The sequence below is a fragment of the Homo sapiens genome, chromosome 18, assembly GCF_000001405.40.
Source record: "Homo sapiens chromosome 18, GRCh38.p14 Primary Assembly".
NCBI lineage: Eukaryota > Metazoa > Chordata > Mammalia > Primates > Hominidae > Homo > Homo sapiens.
The window spans coordinates 76,748,337-76,760,668 of NC_000018.10; the positions used below are offsets into that span (position 1 = coordinate 76,748,337).

Sequence of the window (12,332 nt, forward strand, 5' to 3'; positions counted from 1 at the left end):
ACGCTTGTAATCCCAGCACTTTGGGAGGCCGAGGCGGGCGGATCACGAGGTCAGGAGATCGAGACCATCCTGGCTAACACGGTGAAACCCCGTCTCTACTAAAAATACAAAAAAAAATTAGCCGGGCGTGATGGTGGGCGCCTGTAGTCCCAGCTACTCGGGAGGCTGAGGCAGGAGAATGGCGTGAACCCTGGAGGCGGAGCTTGCAGTGAGCCGAGATTGCGCCACTGCACTCCCGCCTGGGCCACAGAGCGAGACTCCGTCTCAAAAAAAAAAAAAAAAAAAAAAAGAAAAAGAAAACCTGTTGTTGTCACATAGGGGACCAAATTTTTTGGCTTTGTATTAGTGTCTTTTTTTTTTTTTTTGAGATGGAGTCTCGCTCTGTCACCCAGGCTGGAGTGCGGTGGCACGATCTCGGCTCACTGCAAGCTCCGCCTCCTGGGTTCACGCCATTCTCCTGCCTCAGCCTCCCGAGTAGCTGGAATTCAGGCCTATGCCACCAAGCCTGACTAATTTTTTGTATTTTTAGTAGAGACAGGGTTTCACCGTGTTAGCCAGGATGGTCTTGATCTCATGACCTCATGATCTGCCTGCCTTGGCCTCCCAAAGTGCTGGGATTACAGGCGTGAGCCACGGTGCCCGGCCGTATTAGTGTCTTTTTAATATCAAAGCTCAATCTTTAGAAAGACTTATAAGTTACAATCATAGCCAAGTAAATCACGTACAAAATTCCTTTAGTAAATTCTCTTTTTGTGAACTTTATCACAACTTAATGAGACTATTAATGACAGGCTTGGACTTTCTAAGTTTTCCTATTATTCTTCTTTTCAAAATAAGCAGTCATTTTACCGCAGGACAGAATTTACCACAGGAGATTCTTTCTCAAACAAAAGTATTTCTTTTCTTTTTAACCTTCCTTGTCAGAAATACATCTTCATATCTATAACTTTTCTCACATCTCCTTCTCCTACTTACTGGTTCCTTTTTGTTTTGTTTGATATTTTGAAACAACCTCTAAATAACCTCCAAATTCAACAAAATTATTTTTTCTTAATCAAGAACATATTTATGCCTTTCTCATTAAAACACACATCTTATTCTTTTGGCACATTTTATGTATAAACACATATAACTCTTAGTAACCCTAAATTTTAGTGAAAACTTAGAAGGAAGAAGTCTTGAATTGTCTGTCATATATCAGTATTTTATAGATGACAACCATTTTATGACGTTTAGAAACATGTTTCCCTATAACATTTTTATGTATATTAGTAAACCCAAGTATGTTTAATCTTTCTATAAAATTTAAGAAGCCAAGAACAAAATTATGTATATGTTCAGCAATTTGTTTTCATTGTTTTTAAATCTTATTTAGAAATAACCTAGACATTTAAAATTTACCAATTAATTTAACATAATATAACTTTAAGATTTCAAATGGCATATAAGATTAGTTTATAAACACTTATCCCATTTACATTTACTTAATTAATTTATTTTTGAACAGTTTACCTAGATTACTTATGAGAACTGGAATACAAGACAATGTTGGTCATGATTTCAAGTTATTTCCCTGATACTCATTTCTTATTTTTTTTTTTAAATTTTTTGAGATGGAGTTTCATACTGAAGCCCAGGCTGGAGTGCACTGTTGCCATTTTGGCTCACTGCAGCCTCCAACTCCTGGGTTCAAGCAGTTCTGCTGACTCAGCCTCCTGAGTAGCTGGGACTACAGGCACTCACCACCACACCTGGCTAATTTTTTGTATTTTTAATGGAGACAGGGTTTCACCATGTAACCAAGACCACCAGGCTGGTCTTGAACTCCTGACCTCAGGTGATGCGCCTGCCTCGGCCTCCCAAAGTGCTGGGATTACAGGTGTGAGTCACCACACCCAGCCCTGATATTCATTTCAATAGCCTGTGAATATCAGATGTTCACTTAGGTAAGAATCTTAAATACACAGGCATTTTGCCAATAATGCAGAAGATACAGAAGTTTTTATTAAACCAACAATATTAAATTAGTCTTATCAAAAAATTTACACAAAGATTATTTTGTTTTAGGCTGGTTTTATATTTTTATAACCTTTACATCAAATTCTGACACTTTAAAATATTTAGAATAGACAAATATAAGACTGTCTGACTAGTAAACCTGAGCAAAAATGTATGCTGACAAATCTGAAGACATTTCTATTTTTATTTTACCAATAATTTTAAAACCAGTTTGTCTGTTAAAGTTTTACTTAAGTCACATGAACTAAAAAGCATTTGTGCTAATTACTATATATTTTATATGAATGTTCATTTATCTTTAAGGCATTTCTGGCCAACTACCCAGATTTTACTATGTGGACATAGCATATAACATAATACATGTATATATGTGTAAAGAACATCTAAATGCATACACACAAATAAAGATCTTATATCTTTCACTTAATAATTTAGTCATGAAATAGTAATACAAACTCACCAGTTTATAAAAGAGTTGAATTCAAATAATATTTGTGACAAAATTGGAAGCTATTCATATAGCTAGACTTTAGTTGCTCTGATAGGTAATCTAATGAAAGCTGTACCCTTCTGGGTAAAGGAGTTTCCATGGCAGTTTGATTTTTAAAAACTTTTCACCCCTTTTTTTCTTTTAGTTTCAAATAAGTTAGGGGTTAAATGTTCAATGTTTGCATTTTAGCTAGGACTGGCTGAATTGTGTAAGAAAAACAAAATCTCCAAGTAGTGTTGAACTAGTAACAAATCTATCTTTTGTTTGCTGGCCTGGTTTGCTTGATTAGCAAATGTGTGTTGGGAAGACTTCCAGCAGTTTGTTTTTCTTTTTTTTTTTCTTTTATCCAGCCTTTCTTTTTGGACTCTGCATGACAGCAAAAGCAAAAACTGAGAAAATCAATGAAAGAAAGAAATCCTAGATGGCACCAGGATGTAAAATGGGAGGACTCTGAAGAAAGATGGTGTAATGTGTGAGGAGCAGCACTGTGGGGAGGAAGCCTTTCCCTGGTCATGAACTGCCTGGATCGCTACCTGTCCAGCATCTCCACCCAATGGCACAGTTGCAGCTCCTGGGTGCAGTCCACATCCTGCTGGCCTCCAAGCTGGGTGAGACCTTACTCCTGACCATCAAATAACCATGCATCTGCACCAACCACGCTGTCTCTCCTCGCCAGTTGTGGCTGTGATTGCTCTGATTTCCTGACCCTGATTCTGCACCAGCTCTCTCTGCCCTGTGACCAACAGATCTTGGTTGAAAAGCACTCCTTGACTTTTTTGTCCCTGTGTGCTAGAGCTTGCACTTTTGCTGTGTACCTGTCAGGCATGATTGCATCAGGCACCACTAAGGCCATGTGCAAGGCCGGGGTGACTGCTCCACACCAAGGATGAGCTCACAGAGCTGCTGGCAGGGGTCACATGGGTCACTGAAGTGGGCTGCCTGCAGGCCGCTGCACCCAGACTGGGAAACAAAAAGTATTTTATCATCCCAGGAGTGATGTATGGTCCTTTATTAAGACAGCCTTATCCAAACAGATCCCAAACAATATCAAAAAACCTCTACCAGCTGGGTGCAGTGGCTCACACCTGTAATCCCAGCACCTCGGGAGGCTGAGGCGGGCAGATTACCTGAGGTCAGGAGTTCGAGACCAGCCCAGCCAATATGGCGAGAACCATCTCTACTTAAAATACAAAAATTAGTCAGGCGTGGTGGCAGGTGCCTGTAATCCCAGCTACTTAGGAGGCTGAGGCAGAAGGATCTCTTGAATCCGGGAGGTGGAGGTTGCAGTGGGCCAAGATGGTGCCACTGCAATCCAGCCTGGGCGACAGAGAGAGGCTCCATTTAAAAAAAAAAAAAAAGCCTCTACCAAAGGAGGGGGAGACTCAGTCTAAGAGAAGACCCCCGCCACGGCAGAAACATGGAGCTGTGGACACAGAGAGCTCCAACAGCTCACATGAGAACAGCGCACCGGGTCCAAGAATCACCGATCTTTTTTCCAACAACGATTTTCTGCAGGTCCTGATATCATATATGTCAACCTGAACAACAAACAGAGAGAGTCTCTCTAAAATGAATGATACTTATTTGGGAACAGAGCATTGCAATGGGAATATGTGTGCCATCGTAAACGATGTGTGAATTCAGGGAGGTAAAGGAAGACAACGGTTTTCAAAAAGGAAAAATGAGGATTGCATAATTGTTTTGAAATAATTATGCTTGGCTCCTAAGACAATGCCAAGGGTGAGGCCAGTGCAAGTTTGGACAGGCAGTTGCTGGGCAGATGTCCTTGCAGAGCCGATTCTGTGTAAGGTTGCAAGGGCCTTTGTGCAAGGTTGTGGGTTTTGCAGTCTTTTGTGATAGTTTCTGTTCTCAGGCACATAAGCATGAGGACCCTCCTTTCCCCAACTCTGTTTATCAGGGTTTTCTTAACATTAGGGATTCCATTTTGATTCTGGCAACTTTCACATGCCCATCCCCCTTATCAAAAAGCAAAACACGTAAGTATTTCTGTACCACCTCCTCACATACCAGTGAGGTTGAAAGTGTGTCGTTTCTATTTTTCTTCCAGACTAATCTTTGTGTTAATTTTAACCTGATTCTCTGCATAGACAAATAATAATTATTAACATTTATGGTGTCTATGTACACAAAGATTGTTTTGGTTGACTCTCATCATGATCAATCAAATTGATCTTATTATTTCTACTTTCCAGGTGATGAAACTTGGAGGTTTATTGACTTTTTCATGAAGGAGAAAAGAGGCATGAAAGAACATAGCCAGCTTTTCTGACCCTGTACCATTACCATTCCAACAGACTGTCATTGTAGTACTGGGGGAGTGCAGCTGAGGAAGGACTCCGTCATCATCCCATTCCCATGAAAGGCCTTCAAACTCGTAACAACCAACTTTGGAAGCTTCAAAATTGGTAGTCATGTTCAGAGCCAGACCTCTCACAATTCTTTTAGGAATCCAATTCTTCTTCTTCTTTTTTTTTTTTTTTTGAGGTGGAGTCTTGCTTTATTGCCCAGGCTGTAGTGCAGTGGCGCAATCTCTGCTTGCTGCAAGCTCCACCTCCTGGGTTCATGCCATTCTCCTGCCTCAGCCTCCCTAGTAGCTGGGACTATAGGTGCCCGCCACCATGCCTGGCTAATGTTTTGTATTTTTTTTTTTTTTAGTAGAGACGGGGTTTCACTGTGTTAACCAGGATGGTCTTGATCTCCTGACCTCATGATCCGCCTGCCTCGGCCTCCCAAAGTGCTGGGATTACAGGCGTGAGCCACCACGCCCAGCCAGGAATCCAATTCTTAAAACCATTCTCCTTGCCTCGGTACCTGTTTATTTATTTTAGAGAGAGGGTCTTGCTCTGTTGCCCAGGCTGGAGTGCAGTGGCATCATCATAGCTCACTGCAGCCTCAACCTCCTGGGCTCAAGTGATCCACTTGCTTCAGCCTCCTGAGTAACTGGGACTACAAGTGCCCCGCCATGCCTGGCTAATTTAAGACAATTTTTTTTTTTTTGTAGAGATGGGGTCTCACTATGCTGCCCAGGCTGATCTTGAACTCTTGGTCTCAAGTGATCCTCCCGCCTTGGCCTCCCAAAGGACTGGGATTAAAGACAACAGCCACCATGCCCAGCCCTTTTTGCCAATAAATAATTTTTTTAAATAAGAAGAAAAGTCTTTTAAAGATGTCACACATTTACCATTTCTGATGTCCTTGGGGCACCTGTGGGTGGAGCCCTCCATAGGCACCATAGCCAAGGGCTTGTGCACGGTGATAGGTGCGTGTCACCTTCTGCAGGACCACACCTGTAGGGCCGTGCTCCAAGAGCAGTTATTCACAATTTAGAGTGTCACACGTATTACTTCTTCATTTGAAAATATTATGGACATAAAAACACTAGAAAAGTTTGCTAACCTAGTTTATTTCAAGATATCATGTATTTTGTTGTAAATGTTAAAAATTCTTTAAACGGACATGCATCTTCTTATTTGGAGAAGGGTTTCATGTGAAGCTTCACATGAAAACTAATCTGTAAAGACATGCAGAATACCACGTGCTAGAGTGTGCAGCTGAATGAGCTCAAGCTCAACATGGGAGATCAACGCCGGCCTCACCATCACGCCAAAGAACCTGCCTGAAAACTTCTTTTGCAGCCAATTAGTTATTACTCACACAATAGCCTTCAGAAACCAGATCTGTTCTCTTTAGTAGGTTTAAAGTTCAGCTTCCCAGGCCAGATCTGCGTGGTTTGCTTCCAGCTTTGTCTAATCACCTACTTCCCGTCTGGCGCCTTCAATTGTCCCTTCAGCTTGACTGATAATATCACTATGTCACAATATCAAGGACCGTGGTAACTTAAAAGAGCTGAACTTAATTTATAAACTTCTCATGATGATCCTGTGATGTAACAGACATGAGGGGTTGGACCAAAATTAACATTTAGAGAGGAGAGGATGTTCCAATAGAATCATAAGCAATTATGTAATCTTTTGAATAAATCAGGTATTTTTCTCCAGGTTGGTTGTTACATGACCATAAAGGACAGCATCAGAAATAATAAAATAATTATATTTTCCTTTTCTAATTAAAATGAGGATGGAAAAAATTTCAGAAGGTAACATTTGCTTGGCAGGAGGTTTGCAAGCAGCTAGTTCTATCTCCAGGGGGCTGTGTGGTAACCCAATGACATTGACTGGAAATGTCTCCTGTGAGCTGCAGATCCTGAAGGTGGTACCTTCTGAGCAATGTCCCTAGATATCTTGTTGTTGTTGTTGTTGTTGAGACGGAGTCTCGCTCTGTTGCCCAGACTGAAGTGCAGTGGCGCTATCACTGCACACTGCAACCTCCACTTCCCGGGTTCAAGCGATTCTCCTGTCTCAGCCTCCTGAATAGCTGGGATTACAGGCGCCCACCACCACGCTCAGCTAATTTTTGTATTTTTACTAGAGACAGGGTTTCACCATGTTGGCCAGGCTGGTCTCAAACTCCTGACCTCAAGTGATCCACCCTCTTCAGCCTCCCGAAGTGCTAGGATTATAGGTGTGAGCCACCTCGCCCAGCTGACATCTTTTTAAAAATGCAGTTGTGCTCGGAAGGGCAAATGAGAAATAACATCACCATCAACATGACGGATATTTTGGCATGACTTCATTAACAAATGGATTTCTGACCTGTCAGTTTCCTAGGAACCGGGCTGGGAGGTTGGACTCCTAAGTTTGTCAGGTATCAAACACTTGGGATTAATACTAAAAAGAAATAAGCCGTCAAGTCATGAAAATACACGGAGGAAGCTTCAACATATATTCCTAAGGAAAGAATCCCGGAAAGCCTGCATCCTGCGGGGTCCAGCTGTATGACACTCTGGAAAGGTGATGCCATGGGGACAGCAAGATCAGTGGTCACCAGGGGTGGGAGAGAGGGAGGAACATATAAGAGGGACACTGAAGCTGTTTAGGGCAGTGAAAATACTCCGTGTGTTACTGTAATGGTGGGTATATTTCATTATACATTTGTCCAAACTTACACCTGTACAACTTATACAACACCAAGAGTAGGCCCTGATGTAAACTATGCACTGTGGGTGACAGTGGTGCGTCAACGTAGGTTCATCAGCTGTAACAAATGCACCCTCTGGTGGGGGGACATTGATCATGGGGGAGAGCACTGCACATGTGGGGACAGGGGTTCTAGGCGAACTCTGTATTTTCTGCTCAATTTTGCTGTGAACCTGAAACTGCTCTTAAAAACATTTATTTAAAAATGGCAATACGTGGTAGCATCTTATATTATGAGATTAAAGCATTTGATAATCCTTCTGCAGCAAAGTAAATTGATCATATGCAATTCCAATACCGTGCTTAAACATGATGATGCGTTGAATTTATGGTTCATTTCCGAATCTAAGAAATTTATTGACAAATCCGGTTGCTACTGCCGCAGCAGAATAAAGTATTTCCAAATTGAAATTAACAATAAAAGCCATCTAAGGGCTATAATGACTCAAAACAGATGATCTAATTTGGCATTTCTGGCAATAGAGCACACTTATAATCCAAACAGCACAATTAGCAATTTTGCTGAGATGAAGACAAGAAAAAATAAATTTACAATAACTTATTTAAATGAAATTTAAAAAATTCCAGGAACTCCAGTTCCAAGGGAAGGGGAGATGGAACTAGGGCCTTCCAACAGCCAGGAAGGACTCCTTAGGGGCCTGAGGTGGGAAGGACCTTTGCTCCTGCAGCACGGGCAGGCTGCCCCTGGAATCACACGGGTCGAGACCCAGGGACCCAGCAGTGTCCAGCTCTCCTCCTTGCCTCGTAGGTGAGGAAGGGGCACCCAGGAGGGAGGGTGACGACGCAGCTGTGGCACGGCTCACTCGCTGCCTCTGTGTCTTGCTCACATGCTTGCTTGCAGTATTGATTTTTTTTCTGATTAAAATTAGATGCTTCTCATTTCAGAACTCTAGGAACTATAGAAAAGCCTAAAGAGTAAATAAAAACAACAAGAAAGATGGTTACAGACATGAGCATAGTAAAGTGACATTTTCAGAGCTGCGAGATGGGGCCTGGAGGGTCCGGCTCCTGTTTTGTCTTCAGATGACCCTTGTGTCTCCAGAGACGTCAGCTGACCTCGCTCTCTAACCGCCTTCTCCTCCCACTCTGCGACTGGCTGGCCAGGGCACCTCCTCCTGTCGTTTGTACATGTTCACGGGGTTTTTTGCTGTCCTCCTTCCTGCAAGTGCTATGTCACGTGTCTCTGTTCTGGGGCACGAGAATCCAGCCTACCCGCTTAGGGGGCCCCGCGGTGCACTGCTAAGTGTACTCATCATCCGCGTGGCCAAACACTCTGACAAAAGCTTCCTGCATTTCAAAAGGCAACCTGTCCATTTTCCATTTTAAGATAGATACTTTTGGAAGAGTACAGACACAACAAAAACAGTAACATTATTCTATTTTTACAAGATATGTAATAAAAATGACTACATTTTCAAGAGAGTCCTATAAAATAATGTGTGCCAAATCCTCATAAACGTTCCATTTTAACAGTGGGCTGGCCGAGACTTTTAGAAAGAATTTATCTGGAAAATGCCAAGCCAGCTTATAAATATTTTCCAGTAGCATCACTGCCAAAAGCGTGATGTGTTTATTGCAACTGTTGCACGTTGTGCGGACTAGGCCGTTTCACACGGTGAGCGATGGCGAGCTGGGTCTCTCGCTGTATTTTCCAGTCTGTTTTCTCGCTTTGTACTTCTCAAAACGAAGCTGTCACTTTCCGTAAGAGGCCAGTTCTGCCTTGACTCTGAGAAGCTCTGCTGTAAATACTTCTGAAGTGCTCGTGTGGTCTTGCTTTTCCTTTCTTCTTTTTTTTCTTTTTGCGCTTGAAATTGATTTTAGGTGTTCCTATCAAAAGGAATTCTTTCAATCTTCCTGCATCTTATATAGTAATAATCGTTGCACTCACCTCAAAGAGGGCCTTACTGCCCGACAACTGGTCAACCTCATTAAATGACCCATAACACAAACCCTCCAGGAGCCACCGGGGGCACCTGCCGTGGTGGCTGAAGGGTCACGAGTGCCTTCAATGTCTTTGTCGAAGGCTGTGGCATGGGCTGGATGTGTCCTTGCTTCCTGACGGGCCGTGTCTTCACCTTTTCCTCTCTGAGGCTGTGGCTGCCTGGGCCGCTGTCCGTGCTGGAAGTCTCCCGTGGAGGAGGAGGCCTGGGGGTGCCGTGTGTGGCCTCTGCGTGGGCAGGACGGGGGCACCGCACAGTGCAGCACTGTCTTTCCAGGTCCTCTCTGGGACGTGACTGTCAGCATGTGCAGAAGACCAGCCAGGTCCCCCTGCTCCTCTCGGTCAGGGAGCCAGGCCATCCCACCCGCACCCCTACCGTCACACTGTCCTGTGAGGCCAACAGCACTGCTGGCCACAGCTCTGGCTCACCATGTCCCTGGCTACCGTGTTTGTTGGGTTTTTTAATGATTGTGGTAAAATATAAAGACATAGAATCAAGCATGTTAACCATTTCTAAGTGCACAGGTCCGTGCCACTAAGCACGTCTGCACTGATGAGCAGCCAACACCACCCTCTGTCTCCAGAACTTTCTCCTTGCCCCCGACGGAAACTCTGGGGTACCTTGTTTTATGAATTATCTCTTTTGTTCCACTTTGTCTCCCTAAGCAGCTTGTGCATCTCTTGAGAACAGGTCCTATCACACGGCCCGAACCGTACCTAGCAGGAGCGCAGTGGGCCCTTGATACCTGCGGCCTGTGTCTCAGGGCCTCTGCCTGGCTCCTGCTCAGAAAACTGCCTCCTCCCTCCCTGAGCCCCTGTTCATTACATTAACCAGAACGCGCCGTCTGTCGCTAAGTGGACCAGGGCTGAGTCCTGACCCAAGAAGGGCCAACTGAAGTCACTCTTCAAGGCCTTGGACTTGGAACAGAAGTCAAATCAGTCCTGGAAGTGACTGGAAATGCAACATTTGAACTGAAAAGCCATGGAGTCCCCCAAAAAGCAGACATGGGAATAGGCAATGAGAGAGAGAAAGGAAGTGGGTGGGAGAAGGAGGCTTCACGTCCTGCTTTTCTTCCTTTTCCAAGGCCTGACTCACGTTCTCTTAGCCCATGGAATAACCCAGCGCCTCATATGAAATGCCTCTTTTAACTAATGCAGTTTTATTAAGACCGACCTGCAGGTGGTGGGACTAGCCCAGCAGTGTGACGCTTGCGGCAAAACTCACGACTCGAGCTTCCAATGGCAGGAGTGAAGCACAGGAAACTGGGCTGAAGCTCCTGAACGTTGTTCCTGCCCGGGAGGACGCCTGCAGCCGCGCTCTGCTCCCACAGCAGCTCCGCATGGGCTCTGTGACCACCGTCCTCTCCCCGGCACGGGTAAGGGGCAGCCTGCAGAATCGCCTGGGTAGCACCAAGCGCCACGCAACCCGCAGGGCGCTCGCAGATGGAGGCCACGCGGCCTGCAGAGAAGCCCCTCTGGCTCGGTTGTTGATTGAACCGTGAACTTTCTGCTTCCATCTCCTGCAGGAGGCTGAGCCTTCCACTTGCAACACACATCTCCACATCTCAGCAATTCGCCATTCAGGTTTCTCTCGCTGGCGTCAGTGTCCAGTGTGTGTCTGCAGCTGCTGCCCAAGCAGGGACTTGGGGCCCCGGGCTCCGTTCTCCTCATGTGGCCCTCAGGGTGGCTGATGGGAGAGGAGACAAGCACGGATGCACAGGCCAGACTTTTTTTTTTTTCTTTTTGTCTTTGTACAAGATTTTATTAAAGGTCTTTACAGAGCAACACCCAGACTCCAGAATACAGTTGCCAAGGAGACCCTGTTAGCTGTGGGGCCTGGCCGGGGCGTGGCAGGAGGCTCTGGCTTCCCATCTTCTCTTCTGAGATGGGGGTGGTGGGCAGTATCTCATCTTTGGGTTCCACGATGCTCACGTGGTCAGGCAGGGGCTTCTTAGGGCCAGTCTTGCCAGCTGGGCCCCAGGGAAGCATGATCTTCACCTTGATGGCACCGGCCAGACTTTTATGTGCAGAGCTGGGGATGGCAAATGTGACTTCCCTCACACACATTTGCCCCCTGCCTATCTGCCAGGGGTCAGTTTGGCTGTTTACCCAGGAGGAAAACAAAATGGGTTTGGGGAGCAGGTAGCACTGCCCATCACGCGCGTGAGGAAGGTCATTCTGAGCATTTTTCCCCCTAGAAGTAATACACAGACTATTTTTATTTTTATTATTTTTTATTATTATACTTTAAGTTCTAGGGTACATGTGCACGACATGCAGGTGTGTTACGTATGTATACATGTGCCATGTTGGTGTGCTGCACCCATTAACTTGTCACTTACATTAGGTATTTCTCTTAATGCTATCCCTCCCCCTCCCCCACCCCATGTCAGGCCCCACTTTTGATGTTCCCCACCCTGTGTCCATGTGTTCTCATTGTTCAGTTCCCACCTATGAGTGAGAACATGCAGTGTTCTCACTGCATGAGAAATGTGCCACATTTTCTTTCTTTCTTTTTTTGTTTTGAGATAGAGTTTCGCTCTGTCCCCCAGGCTGGATTGTGGTGGAGCGATCTCCGCTCACTGCAAGTTCCACCTCCCGGGTTCACGCCATTTTCCTGCCTCAGCCTCCCGAGTAGCTGGGACTACAGGTGCCCAATACCACGCCCGGCTAATTTTTCGTATTTTTTTAGTAGAGATGAGGTTTCACCGTGTTAGCCAGGATGGTCTCGATCTCCTGACCTCGTGATCCGCCCGCCTTGGCCTCCCAAAGTGCTGGGATTACAGGTGTGAGCCACCGCACCCAG

The 12,332-nt window shown here is 45.0% G+C and overlaps 1 pseudogene, besides 1 other annotated feature; it reads left to right on the plus strand.

Moving 5' to 3' along the window:
* On the plus strand, window positions 2,969–3,505 carry CCND3P2 (cyclin D3 pseudogene 2; annotated as a pseudogene).
* Window positions 8,557–9,057: an enhancer, noted in NCBI's record as "H3K4me1 hESC enhancer chr18:74468849-74469349 (GRCh37/hg19 assembly coordinates)". NCBI's record gives its function as "activates a minimal SCP1, AML or CMV promoter by ChIP-STARR-seq in naive H9 embryonic stem cells {active_cell/tissue: H9 hESC(naive)}" and the evidence as "EXISTENCE:reporter gene assay evidence [ECO:0000049][PMID:30033119]".